This window comes from Homo sapiens, chromosome 18, assembly GCF_000001405.40.
Source record: "Homo sapiens chromosome 18, GRCh38.p14 Primary Assembly".
Taxonomy (NCBI): Eukaryota; Metazoa; Chordata; class Mammalia; order Primates; family Hominidae; genus Homo; species Homo sapiens.
The window spans coordinates 77752424-77772774 of NC_000018.10; the positions used below are offsets into that span (position 1 = coordinate 77752424).

The 20351-nt window shown below is 39.6% G+C and overlaps 3 annotated features.

Moving 5' to 3' along the window:
- Window positions 853-1405: an enhancer, noted in NCBI's record as "H3K4me1 hESC enhancer chr18:75465232-75465784 (GRCh37/hg19 assembly coordinates)". NCBI's record gives its function as "activates a minimal SCP1, AML or CMV promoter by ChIP-STARR-seq in naive H9 embryonic stem cells {active_cell/tissue: H9 hESC(naive)}" and the evidence as "EXISTENCE:reporter gene assay evidence [ECO:0000049][PMID:30033119]".
- Window positions 10013-10727: an enhancer, noted in NCBI's record as "NANOG hESC enhancer chr18:75474392-75475106 (GRCh37/hg19 assembly coordinates)". NCBI's record gives its function as "activates a minimal SCP1, AML or CMV promoter by ChIP-STARR-seq in naive H9 embryonic stem cells {active_cell/tissue: H9 hESC(naive)}" and the evidence as "EXISTENCE:reporter gene assay evidence [ECO:0000049][PMID:30033119]".
- Window positions 19737-19937: a silencer, noted in NCBI's record as "peak3188 fragment used in MPRA reporter construct". NCBI's record gives its function as "represses an SCP1 promoter by STARR-seq MPRAs in K562 erythroleukemia cells {active_cell/tissue: K562}" and the evidence as "EXISTENCE:reporter gene assay evidence [ECO:0000049][PMID:32103011]".

Genomic DNA, 20351 nt, shown 5'->3' on the forward strand with positions numbered 1-20351 from the left:
TAAAAAATTCCCAGTGCTGAGGAATGTTCTGTTATTCATTGTTGTGGTATTTTCTCCAGCACATGCTCAATTGCTTAATTACTATCAGCTGAGAGTGTTCTTACCCACGAGTAGGGAATCACTCACAGCCTCTGAACATACAAGGGTTCAGGGAGGATAGAATAAACACCTATGTAACTAATAACTAGTATGTATTAAAACTCATGCCATATGGAACTGTGGAGAAGCGGCTAATCTAATCCCCTCATTCTACAGAAGAGAAAAATGAGACAGTGAGTCTTTGGTTTTGCAGCCACTAAAAGATGGATGCACATCCTGCAACTTGTAGAGATGGGTTTCTCTGTAAAATCAGTGAGGTTACATTAATAAAATTCTATATTTTTGAGGGGAAATACTGGACAGTTTATTTAAAAGATGTAAGTACAAGAATAAATGGAGAAACGAGCAGCTGCTGCAACAGAGTGATAAACATGGCAGATAGAAGCCGATAAAACAACCACATGATAAACAGCATTGATGCTGGATATCAATGAATTCGCCTCCTAAAATGCCTAAGAAAGTAGAAAGAAATACATAAGAAGAACAATATGGATGCAATTTAGAAAATGTTGGGGGGGGGTTGTTCAATCATGATTTGAGCATGGCTTCTAAATGGCTTAGAATCCAGTTTTCTGTTAATAAGTAGATCATGTGTTTAGGATATTAAAGGAATAGTAGCTATCTTTCACAGAGTGAACTTCCAGGGCCTTTTAAGGTTTTCCAGTTCCACAGATAAGTTGGCCTTGTGGCCACCCTAACCCTAACCCTAACCTCATGGCCACCTATCTGTACCTGATCCTGTGGATGGCATTCCATGTCTTTCCTGGCCTTCCTGGAGCTGCAGGTTCCAGCCCGTTCCACCCAGCAGCAACAACCTCCCTTCTCCTGCCGCCCCAAGGAAGCACGAAACTGGACTCACAGCAAGCCTGAGATAGACTCAGAAATGTACTTATTGATGATGATGATGATGATCTACAATGTTGACGACTCCAAATTTTCATGATTTTTCCAAATTGTAATTAAACTCCCTCAAGCATAAAGCTAACACTGGCACAGAATCATGGAAACATCGGTCACAGCTATGCCCAAGAGTGGATTCCAATGGGTCAGTGCAGCTTGTGATGTTCTAGTCTACGTGTGTGAATGCATCTCCTTTGCTCTCAAGACATTGCCCTCACAGAGGAAGAGGAGCCTCTACCCTGTGTTTACTGAAGTTACGAAGCCCAGCTCGGCAGGCCACCTGGAGGGGTGTGGGATGCCTTCCTGGCCCGCACAAGAGCCGGCACACGGATGAGCACATGTGCACAGAGCGGGCGGCCAGCTGCAGGAGGATGGGTGCAGAGTTAGTTACGGGAAAAGGAAAGAGCAGCAGGCATGGCCGTGTTGGGACAGAGAGCTCCCTGTAGACTGGTCTTGCCACACCAGGATGCCCCTCATAGTGTGGGAGGCACAGGCTCCCAGGCACACCTGATTGTTCACAGCTGACTAGAACATTTGCTCCCCCTTCCCAGCGCACATCCGTACACATGTGTATATTCTGACCTCCTCGCGTGGGCTACTAGTGGCAATGCATGTCTGTGTTTCCCTTGTTCACTCCTCCAAGAACACTTACAGCAGTAATCAAAGTTAAATAAGCCCAGTTCTAGAACAGACTATGATTGTTGCACCAACCTCCTCACTTCACATGTAATCGGAATGAGGTCAGAGACAGGAGAACATTTTCTGGGGCCACCTCCCTGATAACAAAGTCAGGGCTGTAATTCTGGTCAGGAAACAACTCCTTTTTCCACATTTCCAAGCGTCTTCCAGGAGATCCCATGCCTGTGCATGAATGTATTTGCATTTTGGCTTTCCTATTGGTAAATTCAATGTTGGTACATTTTCCAGGATCATTGAATAAAAATATAACAATCTAAAGGTTAAGATAAAAAATAATACATACATATACGTATATAAATTAAAAAGGTAATGCTACTATGGTCAAGAAAAGCAAGCAAATCACACTAGAATACAAAGTGTTGGCTGTCTCTGAAGCATCGATAACCATCTTTTTCACAAACCTTCATCCCAAGTGTGCTATTCTGTCCCCCAACTTCAGAAAAGGCTCCCAGCTTCTTTATTTCAGAGTGACCTTGCCCATCCATAGTGTCACAGGGCAGTGTTCCGAGGGAGGGAGCAAGCAAGCAAGTGAAGAGAATGCATTTCCCGGCATCAAGTACCTGCTCTCTTAGTTTAGTGATAATGGTGCTAGCATGCAGAAGGAATTCTCTTCTATTGAGTCAACCATTCTCAAACTATTATTAAAACACGCCTTCTCCTAAACCACAAAGAAAAAGAGGCAGGAAGCTCCACACAAACACACAATTAAGGGTATCCGTGTGAAAACCTCTCAGCGTGTGACACATTTGCAAGCCACAGGCCTAGCCCCTGCAAGACAGCACCTCCCGGGAGGCAGCCCAGGTGGAAGTCAGGGCTCCACCACTCTATTGCCCATGTTGTGCTCTGCCTGGCCCTGAACATTGCTTTAATGCATTTATTCTGGATTAATAATATGGATTAGCAAGTAAGAGGTTGATTAGCTTTATTATTTTTGCATTGGCAATTATTTTAAATTGAATGTTGAGCATTTTTTAATTAGACTTGCTTACTGTGAGCAAAAGGAAAAATAGAATGTATGGTGCTGACTACTTGAAGCAGACAAAAAATAACATACGTAATTATAAAATCAGCATGTTACAGCAGCAAAGATTCAAATCTAAAATGGTGACACATAGTGAATCCTTCATGTCCAAAGCTTCCTGAAACAGGGTCGGGGCAGTGTTTACTTGGAGGGGGCTGCGATATCAGTGGAAACCTTATACATGTTTGCAAATGGAGATGATGCAGGAAGCTTGTCCACTGTGTAACTCAATTCACATTGCGCATTATGTGAATGAGATGTGAAAAATAATTTCCTGTATCTCTGAGGTATCCCAGCCCTAAGTGGATTGCTGGCTCTGGCCCATGGAAAATAATAAAGTGACATAGACTGCACCACCACATTCAGCAGGGACTCTGTGTCGTTTTCCTTCAAGCTTACTGGTAACAGCTACCATTCGATTCACAGGGAAACGACCAATTCTGCTCCAGTGAAACAAATTTTAATGAGCCCTCATTGCAATATTGTGTTTTAAGTGGTAGCTTTTAGCTCTTCAAAATTATGTCCACTAATTAGAGACATGTGATCAACCTAGTTATCTCCCAGCTATAAATTATAATACATATTCATAGTCACATGAATTTCATCTTCTATAAAACTGCCCTTATGCAAACAGTAATAGTAGCTATGTCATTAGAATATATCGGCAATTAATTCTCAAAATGATCAATGGGAAGAATGTCCTTTTCCCTCCATATCTGGTTTATTTATGTGTTCCCATTAATTATGCCTAATTTTCTGTTGTCACTTGTCTTCCTAATGTAATTCAATTTAAGCATATCTTTCTAGAGACTTATTAATAGGTAGGGTCATTTATATTGTGTAGCACAAATATTTTATAATCCACTAATCTTGACAAAAAGGCAATGCCTTCCTAATAAAAAATGTATGAGGAGTAATGGTTCCCTATTAATAACTTATTAGGTCAGATCACACAGTTTGAAGTGTCTATTACACTTTAATTTTATCGGATTTCTTCCTCTGGAATCCGCCACACTTCCCTTATCTTTTGATTGAGATTGTTTTTAGCACCATCCCAGCCTCGACAACCCCAAACAGCACTCGTGGCTTTGCCGTGGCCATAGTGGGTGGGATCGGCAAGCTCTGCTGCAGTGGGGCCTAGAGAAGGAGCAGTTCTGCTGGTGTGAAAGCGCCCTCTCCTCCCTAGAAGGGCGTTCATCATCAGATCATCCTGGATTATTACTGGCTCACACACCCTGTCAACAACAGACCCTTTCTGCAAAATGCACACACACACACACACACACACACACACACACACACACAGGAAATTCAAATATAATTTCAGGGATCCATACAAATCATGAAATTGATCTATGGACTTCTTAGGGGTAAAAGAAACAGAATTTAGATCTTTGGTTAAAATCCACTGTATGTTCATTATATACAGATAGTTTTACTAATAACACAAGCTGGATAAATATTCTTTTCTCAAATTGGCGCATTGTGGCCAAGATTTGTACAGTAACCTATTTGATGTGTTCTTTTAAATCCTTTAACGCTGACTTGAAAATGTTTCCATCGAATTGCTGAGACTTTCATGAGGTCCTGTGGGGATAATCTTCCACAGCTCCTGCTCTCAAGTAACTAGAGGAGAAAGATAGAATGTATTCATGAAAATAGAGTTCTCTTAGGCAAGATGTTTCACCTTCCCTAGACTTCAGGCTTCTCATCAGTAGAGTGAGGGAATTGGACAAAGTTGTTTAAAAGGTCTGTTCCAACTCTAGTTTTTCATGACTCTATCGATCTGATAAAATTATATGAATCTACAAAAGCAGGTCGTCATAATAATGTCTCAACGAATGTACAAAAGTTAATCAGACTGTCGGTGAGGAAATGGTCCATGCCCTCTGGGGCAGGTGCTACTGCGGACATGAGTTCCTGCTGGAGGCCTGGGCACTATTGTGTCAAGACTCAATTATGTTACAGTGAAAGGAGTCATACATGTAGTTTGGGAGGTGGTTATATTAAAATATAATGTATATGTAAAATTACCATCTCAATAAAATGTAGACTAGATTACTTTTCTCTTCATTGGCAACAACATGATCTAAGAACTGCTATTTAAGATAATTGGATGGGGTTATGAGAAACTTAAATGGACTTTGATGCTTCAATAATGAAAGATGAAAAATAGTACCCAAATTAAAGACATCAAATCTGTGCATATAATTAATAGCTCTTTACAGAAATATATTAATTTGGAAGAATACATGTATTAAACATCTTTAAGAAAATGGATTCAAGTTATGCCATTACCAAATAAGGCAAAAATTTTTAAAATCATGAATAGAAATTTACCTTAAGACTAAATTCTCCATTTTTTAAAAGCTATTTTGTTTTTGCCTTTTCAAAAAACATTTTGTAACTTTTAAATTATAAATATTAGCATCGCTCTATAAATCTCATGATATTCTAAAGACCCGCTTGAATAAAAGAAATTTGATGATATTAGATAATATTCTGTTCATCATAAATGCATTAAACTTGTGTGTGTGTGTGTGTGTGTGTGTGTGTGTTGTTTCCTCCAGTAGAGTTCTTAAGTGCCTCATTTGGAAAAAGGCATCTAGACCGACACACCTGCAGAAACGTAATTCCTTTGGATTCTACTCATAATTATCTATGCTACACATTTATTAACAAGCAGGCATGATGCTAGGTCTAGGAGATATGGATACAGAGAAAAGGAAGCCAGCCCTAGGTGTCAGTCCTTAAAGAAGGGAAAGAAACTCAACTTTAATAAGCACATACTATGTAATCAAAGTCTTTGCATGTGATGTTGATACAGCCTTGGCTCATCCTTCCACAGTGCTGTGAAGTAATGATCTCTGTCACTGTAGATTTGGAAAGGGGACCACATGGGGTCAAATCAGTTATTCAGCTTCATAAACATAAAAAAAAGTCAGAGTCATAATTCAAACCCAGATCCACCTGGATTGAATCATACTATATTTTTAAACTAAAAATAGAACAGCTAAGTAGCCAAAAAGCTAACAATAAACCACTGGATGGCAAAAGAGTGATTTAGGTAATTCATAGATTACCGACAGAAATTGCTGTTAGTTAAATGACCAGGGCACGTTTCACGGAGAAGATCCATGCCAGTGGAGGGTACTGTTTGGTAAAAAGACATTCAGGGCCGGGCGCGGTGGCTCACGCCTGTAATCCTAGCACTTTGAGAGGCCGAGGCGGGCGGATCACGATGTTAGGAGATCGAGACCATCCTGGCCAACATTGTGAAACCCCGTCTCTACTAAAAATACAAAAATTAGCTGGGCATAGTGGCACGCACCTGTAGTGCCAGCTACTTGGGAGGTTGAGGCAGGAGAATGGTGTGAACCCAGGAGGTGGAGGTTGCAGTGAGCTGAGATTGTGCCACTGCACTCCAACCTGGTGACAGAGCGAGACTCCATCTCAGGTAAAAAAAAAAAAAAAAAAAGGACATTCAGGACTTCTGAGCAGGTAGAAGGGCATCTGGAGCAAAAGAAAGAGACACCCCTGAGCTATGTCTATTCTGGGAGAAAAGTAAACTGATTTGAGAGGAAGTAATAATGAGAGATAACGGTGAACGCTTTGTGGAGGACCTTCTGTCCTGAGCTCAGAGACTTATACATTTTTTCCCATAAAAACTTAGAACTTCACAAGTTTTCGAGCCAGGTTTCTTGCATGGTCATGAATGTAAAAGAGATTAATTTCCAGTGATCTTTAGGATGCACTAGGATAATAGTTAAGATGCTATTCTAATAGCACAGTTAGGGATTTATAAAAGAAGAAACATGGTTGATCATAGACCCCGTAGAAAGGAAAAGGCACGCAGAAAACACGAAGAAACAGTCGTCTCAGTGATCAGTGGAGAAGGAAGACCATAGGAAAGAAATGAGTGAGAGACGATGAAGACTTTCAGCCTGTTTAACTGGTGGGAAGTTGAAAGCTTTTCTGAAATGACATTGGAAAAAGGAGCTGGAAGTTCTGGCAAGAGATAATTCACTTCTGATCACTGAGGCTGTGTTTAAGAGGCAATGTCCTACTGTGGACTGAAGCTTCTCATCTTGAGATCTGAAAAGTTGTTAGAATGAGAACCTTGACTTGCTACTCGTTTGCATTGAGGTGATACCTTAAATCTTCAGGATAAATAATTTATCTCCTGAAAAGAGAAAAGTGTGCAAGTAAACGAACTTTGAGGAACATTCTTTGGAGGAGGAGGATGCAAGGGAGCAGTTAGGGCCCTAGACTCCAGGAATGAGCTTGCTCTGCGTGGAGATGCCCTAGAATCCAAGAATGAGCTTGCTCTGCGTGGAGATGCCCTAGAATCCAGGAATGAGCTTGCTCTGCGTGGAGATGCCTGCAACAGGAAAGAGCCCTGAAAAACCAAGGGCTACGGAGTCCTCACAGGGATTGAGGATGATGTTAATAACCTGGAGTTGTGTTTTCTAATGGCCTCCCGGAGGAAATTTTAATAGGAAGACCAAAAGCCAGATGGAAGGAAATGAAGGACAGTTGTTGGCTGTTGTATAGAAATGGAAGCAACGGACAAGACCCTTTTGTTAAACACAACTGTTTGTCAAAAGAGGAGAGGACATTGGCCACCAGCAGCAAGGATCAATAGGAACCAAAAAATATGTTTCCCGTGCTTTTCCCCTTAGTCTGCAAGACATAGAACTTTGGACACAAACACAAAGTGGGGAAAGATGAAGAGAGAGAACGGGAGGCAGAGCTGCTCAACATCACATGGATTGCTTGAGAGAGAAAGCATGCTGAGGAGGTCCTTTATGTTGTCCTTTGAAATAAATATTATTTCACCCAGGCTGAGTAAAGAATGAAATAGTCTAAGTGATGCATAGACTTGCCTTAACATGGATAGTGGGATGATCATGGCTGGTTAGTGTGGACACCCTCGTTCATCTCTGCAGGGTAGATAGGCACCTACACCAAGGGTGAGTGCACGTGGGCTGACATGAGGGCTTGGAGGAAAAGCATTCTCACTAACAGATGTTCCATGAAGAACGACTATGTGCCAGAGCTTAGTGCTGGAAGCTGGGAATGCTCCTTGGAATAAGAGAATTTTTAAAGAGGTGAATCAAAAAACCACTGTGCATGGTGATCTCATCAGCAGGTTGTTTTGTGCAGTGTGGTCCAGATCAAGAACGGAGAAGTGATGCTGAGTGTAGCCAAGTCGTTAGGATGTTAGTTGTTGGCGCATTGATTCAACACCAGGACAATAATCAAGTGGGCCCAAGAGTCCAGGGCCTTATCTGGGATATTATTTAAGGACTTCATTACAATATCTGATTGATGAAGAATCAGCTAGTTTTACTGAATGTTTTAAAGTGTATAAAGCACTTATATATCCTTTATCTCTGAAAGTCAAATGTAACTACAAACAGGCTAATAGGCTGGGTGAAGTGAGCTGGATTAAGTGATTTGAGATCACAGTGAAAACAGTCAATTCATAAGATGAGTTAATTAAGGAGGCTGTGATCAAAGACAGGAACGCTTGAGTTTAAGATTGTGGATGGACTTATGAGCCCAATTTAGGACCAAGCAGGTGGACCGGCCAGGCTGTGGGTTTTAAGGGTCTTTCTGTGGGGAGTCTGCCTGCCTGAAGCTGAGGAAGGGTGAACACAGCCAGCCACAGATAAACGCCTTCTGAAGTATGAACTGGGGCAAGCTGAGAGCCAGTGCTGGAATGAACAGACTGTCATCAGATCTTAAGTGTGGATGTGAGTGTGAAGTGAGAATTAAGGCAGGATGCTAGGAGCCAGGCCTTCCAAACAGTGACTGGGAAGAGAGAGCAGTGAGGAGGAGGTCTTAGCTCCCATCCCTGGGTGCTGCCCACGTTGTGGCAGCTGGTGGAGTGATGGCAGGGAGCTGTCCTAGACTGTGAGCCCTCAGTGGCCAAGCTTTTATCTTGCACCTGCTGCAGCCTGCTTCTCCTTAGCCCCATGCAATGGAGTGCAGGGGACAGGACGTCCATCAGGTCTCCTACACCGGCAGGGACAGATGTGTGGGGAGAGACTGGAGAAAGAACCTGGACTCCTGGGGAAGCTCTGACTGATCCCAAGGGACTGGAAGAGGGCAGTGGAAATAATCAGCACTGAATTTACACAAACACCTAACTCATTTACATAATGATGCTGAATTTACACACTTATTTACATACAACACTGAATTTACACAAACACCTAACTCATTTACATGACACTGAATTTACACAGCTAGCTCATTTACATAATGATGCTGAATTTACACAGCTAACTCATTTACATAATGATATCAAATTTACACAAATGCCTAAGTCATTTACATAATGACACTGAATTTACACACTTAACTCATTTACATAACAACACTGAATTTACACAAACACCTAACTCATTTACATAACAACACTGAATTTACACAAGCATCTAGCTCATTTGCATAATGGCACTGAATTTTCACAAACAACTAACTTATTTGCATAATGATATTCAACCTAAGAAGAGTCACAGTTTAAAACTCCTCAAAATGTGTGCCTCCCTCTTTTACTTTACTCTTTCTCACATTTGCAGTCTGAACAGAGACGGTATAGTTTACATCTTTAAATTGTCTCAAACAATAATCACGTTGGAAGAGCAGAAACAAAAATGTTGAGTGCTTTGAGAACCAGAGAAGCAACTCTGTTTATCTTTTGAAAAGAAAAATAGCACCAAATGCACAGAAAACTTATACCCCAATGGAAGGTCTTCAGGACGGCCTTCTACTTGACTAACTTGCATTGTGATTTTTCAAATGTATGAATATTTTTATTCAAATTAATAATAATAATAATAATAGGAAATCCATGATCCCTGATTGCATTGTTTTCTGAACATGTTTAAAATCAAAATGGGTAAACTTCCTCTTCTCATTAGCAATCTAACTATGGATTATTTATTTTTCATATTTATAAATAAAGTTTGAAAACATGGGGTAAAGTATAAAAAATGACTTCCTCAAATTTTGAGAACAGGGCTCTGTTCCTTTTTTATACTTTCAAAAAGTATTAAAAAGTCTCAAAATTTGACCATGGGTTAAAGTATAAGAAATGACTTCCTCAAAACTTGACTTCCTATAAATGTACGTTTATTCTTTAACCCAAGTCAAATTTTGAGATTTTCTTAATAATTTTTACATGATTAATAACTTTATCATATCAAGGCATGTCTGTGAAAATGTATTGCTAATTTCCACTAAAAGAATTTGAAACTCAAGAGTATGCACACTTTTAAATACAAAATAAAATGTAAAAATAGAGAAGGAATTGACCATTGTCAAAGAAAGCTCTTTGGGAACCAGTTCAGCTCACCACATTCCCTCTCTGCAGTGCTCAGTCCTCCCAGAGTCTAGTGCACTACACGGAGATGGTCTTTGATAATCTGCTGTTCCTTATTACATTTCAAGCTTGCTGTTTAAGCGAGTGCACTCCGTCGACATAATATTGTGCCCTCCGTGACAGCCTGACTTCCCTCCACTCCATCTAGGTATCAACCCTGGTGATAGGAAACCGAGAGTCACCAGAATATCATTCTGTAAACAAAAACAAAAGCCCAGCAACAACTTCTCCACCCCATCGTAAGAAGATCAAAAAGAAAATGCAAACAGCAGCTTCCCAATGCTTGTGTAGAATGGCCCTCCCACAGCACGGTGGGTGGAACAAAAGCCCCTTTTTGGCATTTGCAGCACCAGCAGCTGCAGGCTGATGCACTAGGCTTTCCGTTAAATAGGGGCTGGGGCATAAAAATAGACACTGGCATTTATTGGAAGCTTAAGCCTGTTGAAGTTTTACAGATTTAGAAAGTTCACTAATCGCTATCAATTAAAATCCCTGCCTCCTTGTTGCATAAATTATTCACAATGCAGCACACAATAGTAGGGCTTTTGGAAATATTTATTGTGGCCAAATGTTGGAAACAGTGAAGTGCAAACTAAAGATTTTTAAAAGTGCTTCAATTTGCAAATACAAAGGAAATGGCCACTTCAACAGCAGCACTGGACTATATCTTCATGTAAGCAATGAATGATAGGTGTGTACTAGAAAAGGGTTTGGGACCTGTGACACACTTCTAGCAAAATTTAATAAGAGAATTTTCTTTAGTCTTCACTTAAAATCAAAGAAACATTACCTAGCTAAAAATATCAGTCCAGTCAGCCATAAATATGCAAATACGTATGTGTGTGTATGTGTGCATACATGACTCAAATACACACATGTATGACTCTATAAACACCTGCACATTTATTAACATTAATTACTTTCTAACATCTGAAGGTTTTATTAAAAATTAGAATTAAAGATCAAACTGAGCAAATGCTCGTTCTGAGTTGAACACTGTCACCTGTGGATGCATTTTCAAATCTGTGCTGTTTTTGATCAACATTTTGTAAATAGTCACTTCACTGGCCCATTTTGCTCTATTGTGAGCTCTACCACAGTATCACACCACTTGCCCCAAGCAGCTCTCCTCAGAGGCTTTTCTTAAGCACTGGCGCTGGATCTGTCCCTACAGAACAAGGTCCGAGGTGAGCACCGCCAGAAGGAATGGGTCAAGAGCGGCCACCTGGGTTCTGTCACGGCTGTTTGACAATAGGAAACTCAGATATTGCCATTTCCTGAACCCTCACAAGCATCAGTGAAGCTGCTAAAAATTTCTCTAAAAGGGGGAAAGCAACTGGAAGAGCACATTCAACAATGATAATAATGCTGTCATTAAAGATTGATGAAGACTTTCAATTAGAACTCATTCCTGATCTGGAGCCGCTTAAGCCAGTCCTGCCTACTATGAGCTAACGCTCAGCAATGCAGATAAAGGGTCATTATAATCTATTGAATTCAATCATGACAAGTTCATTTACCTGACGGGAGCATGTATTACATACAAAAAACTAAATTAAAATAACATTATGGGTTGACTCGAATCCACACAAGAAAAGAAATTCAGAATGAAGGACAGAACTAATCACAGGCTAAGAATAACTTGATTTATAGTCCCTTTTTGTTGCAGAAAAATACTTATTCTGTTGTCCATCCTAACTGACAACGTAACCTTCCTTTGAGAGAGTACACTTTCTTATTCAGTAACGCTGCACTTCAATACGACAATGATAATCTCTGATATCTAAGCAGAAAGGTTTAAAGACATACCATTCATTAAAATGATTTAATAATTCTTTCATAAGAATAAATACAACACATACGATTGTGCAAATATACAGCCAAATATATTTATTTAAATAAATTTTAAGGTAGTATTGAAGCTACTACATATCTATAGAAACACATAATTATAATAAAATATTTGTAAATACTTCGTCACCAATTTTAATGTCTTGAATATTATATTTTTGACTAGAACATTCAAAATATTTATGAGGAGAAAGGCTAAATGTAAAATGATGTATTTAAATAATCATATATCAATAATATATATATATATACCTACATTCTTATTTTTCTAGTAATATTTAACCTCCTTGTAAGGCTCTGACCATTGAAAGATATACTTTCTATCCTAACACTATTTGTATTTGTTCAATTTTCTAAAAGATCTCCCAAGTCTAAGTTCACAGTGATTGATATGTTTTTGAACTTTGTCACTAAGTAATAAAAGGCAAATCGTTCATATTAAAGAGTTAATGAATGAGGTTCTTAACTGTGAAAAGTTGATAGTTCTACACTGAAATAAATTTTGCGAACTCGAAGGAAAACAGTCTCTCAAGATTTGTTTTATTACTGTTTTTTTTTTTTAAAGAGGGTTAGGTTATCGTTGCACTAACAAATTATTGGACATCTTTATTAAATATTATTTTAAAATCTTCAGTGAATGAGGACAGAGTAACTGGAGTCATTTCATCTTCTGGCTTGAACAATGTAATCTGCTTTGAAACACAAAAGGTTTCAGTCCTACCGAAGGAATTCCAGCACTTATGCGTCAACATTCTTCAAGCTGAAAGCACGTTTTAACTAACTTGACAGTGGATAAAGAAGGAAATTTCTACAGTGATTTCCTAGGTATATTCTATGTTACAAATCAGAATTTATTTCGGTCCTAATTAAGGACATCTTTGCTGTTGCTGTCTTCACTCACAGCGTCTACACTAAGTTCCTGCCGGCGGCGGTCCAGTCGATCTCTGAATGTTGAATTTTCCTAGAAACCCATTTTAGTGCCAGTTTAGGAGCAGCTGACGTGTTCACGATTTTAAGCTTCTACTGTTTTCATTCAATAAATTGTTAACATTATCCACACACACAGAGTAAACACCTGAAAGCACTAAAATGCTGCCCTTCTCCTGTTCTGTTACATACAGGGAAAGCTTTTAATGTCTCGAGTATTTTCTTTGTTGAAGGCAAGGAGTGTGAACACGCAAATGGGAGTGGGTGTACATGGTAGGATCCTTGGATTTAAAATATCCCTTTTATGTCAGAAATTCACTGAGTCTTTCTGAAAACACATCAGCCAGGCCTGTGTAGTGATCTCTACCATCTGGTGGCAGCATTGCACCGGTGTAGACCGCTGGAACGGCACCTTCCTTTGGAGACGGCAGAAATTAAAGTCCGTGTGGTTTTCTCAGGAAGCATCATTGTACATACACGATGGCTCCCAGAAAATTGCACAGTTACGTCTATGACATATTCCATAACACTTATTTAATCATCAAAACAGGACTTAATGTAGGGGTCTAATTTCTGTTAGCCTAAGTAGGCAGCAGGTAAGTTATGCTATTCAATAAAAATCACAATTTTATGAAATTCTATTTATACTCATATCTTAATTTTCATATTTCAAATATCCAGTAAGTGTTCAGCCAGGATAAAAATCCAGCATTTGTTATATCATTATCGCTGAGTAACTAAGCTAACATAACCCACATTTGTTTTCAATCATATCAGAGTTGCGTTCTTGAAATCCTCAACCTAATTTTTAGTGTTCGACAAAAATAATATATATTCTTTGGGAAGTAGTTCTATATGAAAGAATTTTTCAAAAATTATGTTCATAAAAATTCAAAGATGTATGTGCTACAAATAAAAGTTCCTTGAAAAAGAGACATGTTTTTGGTTAAAATATGCTCTATACCTAAATAAAGTAAGTGGAAAAATATAGATCTAAAATTGTTCTTTAATGCAGAGTATGTGTTTCTTAGACCCAATTGAGGGCAAGATAGCTACTATTAAAATAGTCACCTAAATATATTACTGTGATATATTTTAACTGTGCACATTACTTTTGAATTTTAATTGTGTTTTAAATTTTTATGTATTCAAATATTTAAATTTCAAAGTTTTGCACTATTATTAATTAAATCCAAGTAGAAATTATTTTTCACCTAAAGCAAACTGACCAGTCAGATGATATTGATGTAAGATAGGTCAGTTGCCCAGGTGGCGTGTCTCATAAAAGGCAGAGCCTCCCAGCACACGTCCGTTTCCTCGCAGGCCTCACACTGGGAAAGGTGGTCGCCATGGTGCTCCCGGCAGCAGCCCTCTTGCTCCCCTGGCCTCCTTCCTTCTAACTTCTACGTATCTATCGGTGCCATCAGTTCCTTGATACACGGGAAATGGAGAAGCAAACAATTTTAAAGCAAAATATCTCAAACCTTCCTTGGAACAGACTGAATGACAGTAAAGAACATTATAAAGGAAGTCAGGAGAGCCCCAAAACCTTCCAGTGTTCTGACCTCTGGAATATCGTATTTTTCATTCTGTCCCAATGATCGCATCTGAAAAGGACATTTATTCCTGGATTCACTACTCCTTTCAAAGATACATACCAGGCACCATAGTTTTACCAGATGCAATTACAGTCAAGATGGAATATGTTTTGGCTCCTAAAAATTATAGGTCCTAGATTTACTTACTGGAGCTTAATGAAAAAAAAAAGGCTCTAACTAAACAAAATAATTTCAATAGTAACAAAGTGAATTCTTATGTGGTTGATCTGTATAAAAATGCAGCTTTTTTAACCAAAAGAGAAGTTAATGGTTAAACGTGCGGAAGAATCGCAGCCAATGCAGAAGTGAGTATGGGTTTTGTTACTGTTGCTTTAATCCTTGGAGCCTAACACAGCGCCTGGTGTACAGAAAAGGAGCAACAGATATGGATAGAAAAGTGAGAGCAAGGGGCACACATGCCATCAGGCTCTTCTTCAGACTCTTTGCCTCATAACTACTCCTATACCTGTAGTTTGCAAAGGCATATTCTTTAGCCCGTGTGCAAAATAAAAACTAAAAATAAAAATTGTGTTCATGTCCTGAGAATAATAAATTATATGTATAATACACTATATATACACATATACATGCATAGATACATGTCAGCCTATCAACATGTACTTAACTATATATAACATATTGTACATATAGTATTTATACATGTTTACAGGCACACAGGTATATCCATACAAATCCATACACACACACACACACACGCATTTACATATGAACAATACGTAACACATGTTTTATATATACAACTCAGAGTGTATCATATAATATATCATAATAATATATTAAGGAAGAGGAACATGGCAACGTGAGATTTGAAATATTTGAAGAAATAGTGTGGAGATTATTTATTCATTTATTCCACAAGCCTCCTTTCCATGTCTACCATTTTCTGGTCTTGGTGTTAGAAGCTTAGGGATAAAGCAATAAACAAACACTGACCCTGAACTCATGAAGCTGAACAAAAACAAATAAAAATCCAATAATTTCACACATAATGTTTATGTTCTGTTTTTATAAGTACTATATTTAATAGATGTAAGAATCCTTTCATATCAGTAGTATATTGGGAATAGAAGTAGGTCTGGGCAATTGGTTTTCTTTGTTAAATACTCTGAGCTCAATTTTCATGAAGAGGCCCCGAATAAGCTCAGTGGGAGAAGGTGAGGCCTGTCATGACACTAACAAGTGCAATCTTAGCTTTTCTATGTATATGACACAGTATCTGGATAAAATTTTAAAATTTCAGTCAATGAATCTAATGCCTCAAATTACCAAAACATTTGGTTGAGTAGAGATTGCAAGGAGTACCTTGACTGCATTGTTTTGTTTTACATAGGCATTTCACATTTTGCTGTTAAAACTACTTATTTATAAAATAAGTTGAACAATCTTATTTCATTAAATCTACGATATGCTTGCTCTTTGCCTAATTAAATTCTTTTTCTTATGTTTTCTTTTTTAATCTCCTTTCATTCTACCCATGTTGCCCAGAGTAAAGACTCTATGCATTAGATAGGACATTTGGGGGCTTAATCTTCACAAAGTATTTAGCATTAAAATCATGTCGCCCTGAATTCTAAATTATTTTTATCTTCCCTGACATTACAAATTCCCTTTTGAGAAGTATTTTTTGGCAGTGTCTTGTTCCTCATGTCCAGATCCTTAATTGCATGACCATCAGGAAGGTGATATACAGTCTATTTAAAGATCACATGTTGCTGTAAATCTCTGGCACAGTGACGTGGTTTATAAGGCAAATTACAACTCTATCGGACTCCTTTAAAGCGATTAAGATTGTTCTTTTTGTTGACTGTTTTTGGTCACAGTAGGCAATGTTTTTTTTTAAAGGTTACTTTTGATAAAAGGTAAGATGCAATGACAAAAGGTTTCTAAGATTAAGACAAACACATTTTCCTGTGATTTTGGTAAATTTACATAGGAAATAAAAAGGTTCTAAAGGAGATTTTATCTGTAAATCGTGCTCTTGACATCTTGCATTCTATAAATAATGTGGAGCAAAATCAAAGAACTGACTCTCCTTGATATTTGTGCTCCCTAATGGGTTGAGCAATCTCTCTATCTCTAGTTATGATGATGTGGTCATGAGGATGTGGTAATGGTGCTGTGGTGTCATGGTCCTGGTGGCATCGCTGTGGTGGCATGGCTGTGGTGTCATGGTCCTGGTGGCATCGCTGTGGTGGCATGGCTGTGATGGCTTGGTCCTGGTGGCATCGCTGTGGTGGCATGGCTGTGGTGTCATGGTCCTGGTGGCATTGGTGTGGGGGCATGGCTGTGGTGTCATGGTCCTGGTGGCATTGCTGTGGTGGTGTGGCTGTGGTGTCATGGTCCTGGTGGCATTGGTGTGGGGGCATGGCTGTGGTGTCATGGTCCTGGTGGCATTGCTGTGGTGGCATGGCTGTGGTGTCATGGTCCTGGTGGCATCGCTGTGGTGGCATGGCTGTGGTGTCATGGTCCTCGTGGCATTGGTGTGGTGGCATGGCTGTGATGGCTTGGTCCTGGTGGCATCGCTGTGGTGGCATGGCTGTGATGGCTTGGTCCTGGTGGCATTGCTGTGGTGGCATGGCTATGATGGCTTGGTCCTGGTGGCATCGGTGTGATGGCATGGCTGAGATGGCTTGGTCCTGGTGGCATCGCTATGGTGGCATCCCTATTATGTCATGGTCCTGGTGGCATAGCTGTGGTGGCATGGCTGTGGTGTCATGGTCCTGGTGGCATTGGTGTGGTTGCATGGCTGTGATGGCTTGGTCCTGATGGCATCAGTGTGGTGGCATGGCTGTGATGGCTTGGTCTTGGTGGCATCACTGTGGTGGCATGGCTGAGATGGCTTGGTCCTGGTGGCATCACTGTGGTTGATCCCTGTGATGTCAATGTCCTGGTGGCATAGCTGCGGTGGCATGGCTGTGATGTCATGGTCCTGGTGGCATCGCTGTGGTGGCATGGCTGTGATGGAATGGCCATGGTGGAATGGTTTTGGTGGCATAATCCTGATGGCGTGGTCATGGTGGCATTGTCTGGTGATGTGGTCATGATGGTGGGGTCATTTTACAGCCTGATCTCCATCTGCTACTCGCCTCTTTAACCTGCCTTGTTAATTGCTAATAATACAGGCCTGATTTTTCTCAAATGCACATTTTACTGCCCCTGAAAAACCCTAGGCATACTTATTTTTGCTCCCCTCAATGTTACTTTCTGTTCCATAAATCCATAAATGGACCAATCAGAATGCATATTCAGTATCTAGAACTGACAATTGTCTAGATGTGAACAACTAAGGTAACCCCTCGATTGTGTGTGAAATGTATTTACTATCGCTCTAATCTGTATTTGTCACAGTGTTCTCAGCTGGCATGGAGACCACAACAGGCATTCTGTAGGCCCGACAAACACACATTTGTTGCTTCCCAGACCTAAAATGTGTGTCAAGCTCAGTCATGAGACATAGGTAGAAACTGCTTTTTCTGGATTTCCCATAATTCTTCTCCATGACATCTTGGCATTTCTGGGTTATGTATATTTTAAAATCTGGACATTTCCACTGTTAGCTTATATCATACAGGAGATTTTACTTTATGTTGTTACCTATCTAAAAAATAATCCACCTGTTGGATTCTCTATTTTTCTACTTTAAGACCAGAAAATTAATTTAATTAAAAATAGTTAGTTCTTTAAAAAACTCAAACAGTTAACATGTAATTTTTGTCAATAGATGTTTTAAAATCTGGCTTATGATCAAACCAATGAGATAATAGTTGCGATCTTAACAGTTAATAACTTTCAATATTCTGACTTCGAGAGAGAAGATTATAAGTCTAAGATAACAGGTAAATTAATATTGTTTCTGTTCTATTTCATTTGATAGAAAAGGGTAGTGGGAGATGATTTTGGCTAGTTGATATGTTAATAATGACATGTATTTATTTTATAATATGTCTAGACAAAAAGCTATGAGTATGTAGTGTGACACTAAAACCTCAGTTCTTTTCCATTCATGATAACATGTTTTACAAAATTGCTTAATTTTTGTTAATTTTCCATTTCAACTCAAAATGAAAAATTCAATGATAATTGACCAGTTCAGTAAACAATAGGACGGGATTTCAGGACGTTGATCAATACTTGAGAGTCCTCTCCATCAGTTTTCCTGGAACCCCTGTAGAATAACTAATACAATTAGATATTGATGGGATGTCACAAGCTTTTTATGATAGGCAAGGAACTCCAGTATGCAACAGTATTTCCTCAGAGTGTGTGTGTAAGTGCACGCGTTTGCATTACAAGCTAAGACTTCTAGAAAAATAATACCTCATCTGGCCATTTGCTAGCCTCAAATTCCAGTTTTCTCAGAATTTCACTCATTTCCTAGTCACATGGTTCAATAATATAATGAGCATTAGAATTATTGTAGCTTTGCTTTTCATGTTTACCCTCAATTCCCATTTTTCAGGAAAGGCAATTTGGTACCCTGATACAACCACAGGCACCTGTCCAACCCCTCTAAGGAGACTAAGTGTATTGGGGTCTTTTCTCTGATGATCTGTATGGTTCACTCCACAAGCTCAGATCCATTCTGGTCCTTAAGTGTCCATTCTGCACAGCTCAGTTTTCTTTTTTTTAATGTAATATGTCTAAAACTATCGGAGACTCTAACAACTTTAGAAACACACCAGGTTTTCTATGCAGCCTAGGGCTTCCAATTGCAAATATTCAATGAATAATAGGAAAATTTGAGCCTCGCTGAAGGCACATGTCAATATTCTGTGCATCTTGATCGAATGCATTATTGTCTCTTTAGCTGCATGTGTCAGCCGGCTATCTAGAAAGATGGAAACAACTGAGTCCCTGTAGCCAGAGCTTCTTAATGGTCCACGCAAATATGCTTAAGTTTATTTCCTTCATAACTCTTTGAAAAGCTTCTCACCACTCCTTCTGTAAAAAATTGAATACACATAAAACAAACTTCATGTTCACTAAAGTGCATTGAGTTTGAAAGCCAGCAGTGATTTGATTAATGTAGATTGAAAATGAAAATAAGTGTATATATTTTCATACTTAGAAATTTAGAATTCAAGATACTTTCAAGAGAAAAAGAATTCCCGTGTACCTGGTGTCCAGTCTCAAATACCTCAAGTAAGGTTTGCAGCTGACTAACCCCGCCTTCCATAGGTGTGTCTGCGTGGACGTGAAAGTAGCGTTACCTTTGTGGGGTCTCTCAGCAGGCTGCTGCACATTCGTTTCCAAAGCTAGCATCACCAGAACTGAAGTCCCAGCAAGGACATACCTCATGACTTTGTGGATGTTAACCACAACCTTACGGTGGCAGCATGCATGCACACTGCATTTCTTAGGGTTTTGCACACAACTTTTTATCTCAGCTACAGTCATACATAAGCATCTTACACAGAAGCAGTGTCTGAGTCCAATCAGGAGATGACTCATGCAGTAATTTGCATGGAGAAATTTACCATAAAGAAAGGGAGGAGCAAGCGAATGGAAAGAAAGATAGCCGGAAGGGGTATGGCCGTAGCAGATGTGGGGAGCAGCCATGGCCCCTAGGACTGAGGTGGACATTGGAGAGTGGCTCCCTAGAGCAGGATTGGGCACTGTGGAGAGGGGTAGTGAGTCTTGCTGAATGGCAGGGAAGTCCCTGTGCTGGAGGAGCTTGCCAGAAACTCACCCTGCAGACACTGAGGGACACCTGCCCTGAGGGACGTGCTGGAAAGCTATATCCTCTACAACTAGCTGGAAATCTACCACGTGATGCTCTGTGGCAGAGGACAGCTGAGGCGAAGGTGTCTCTGGAGGGGTCCCCTGCAAAGCCACCCCAAGG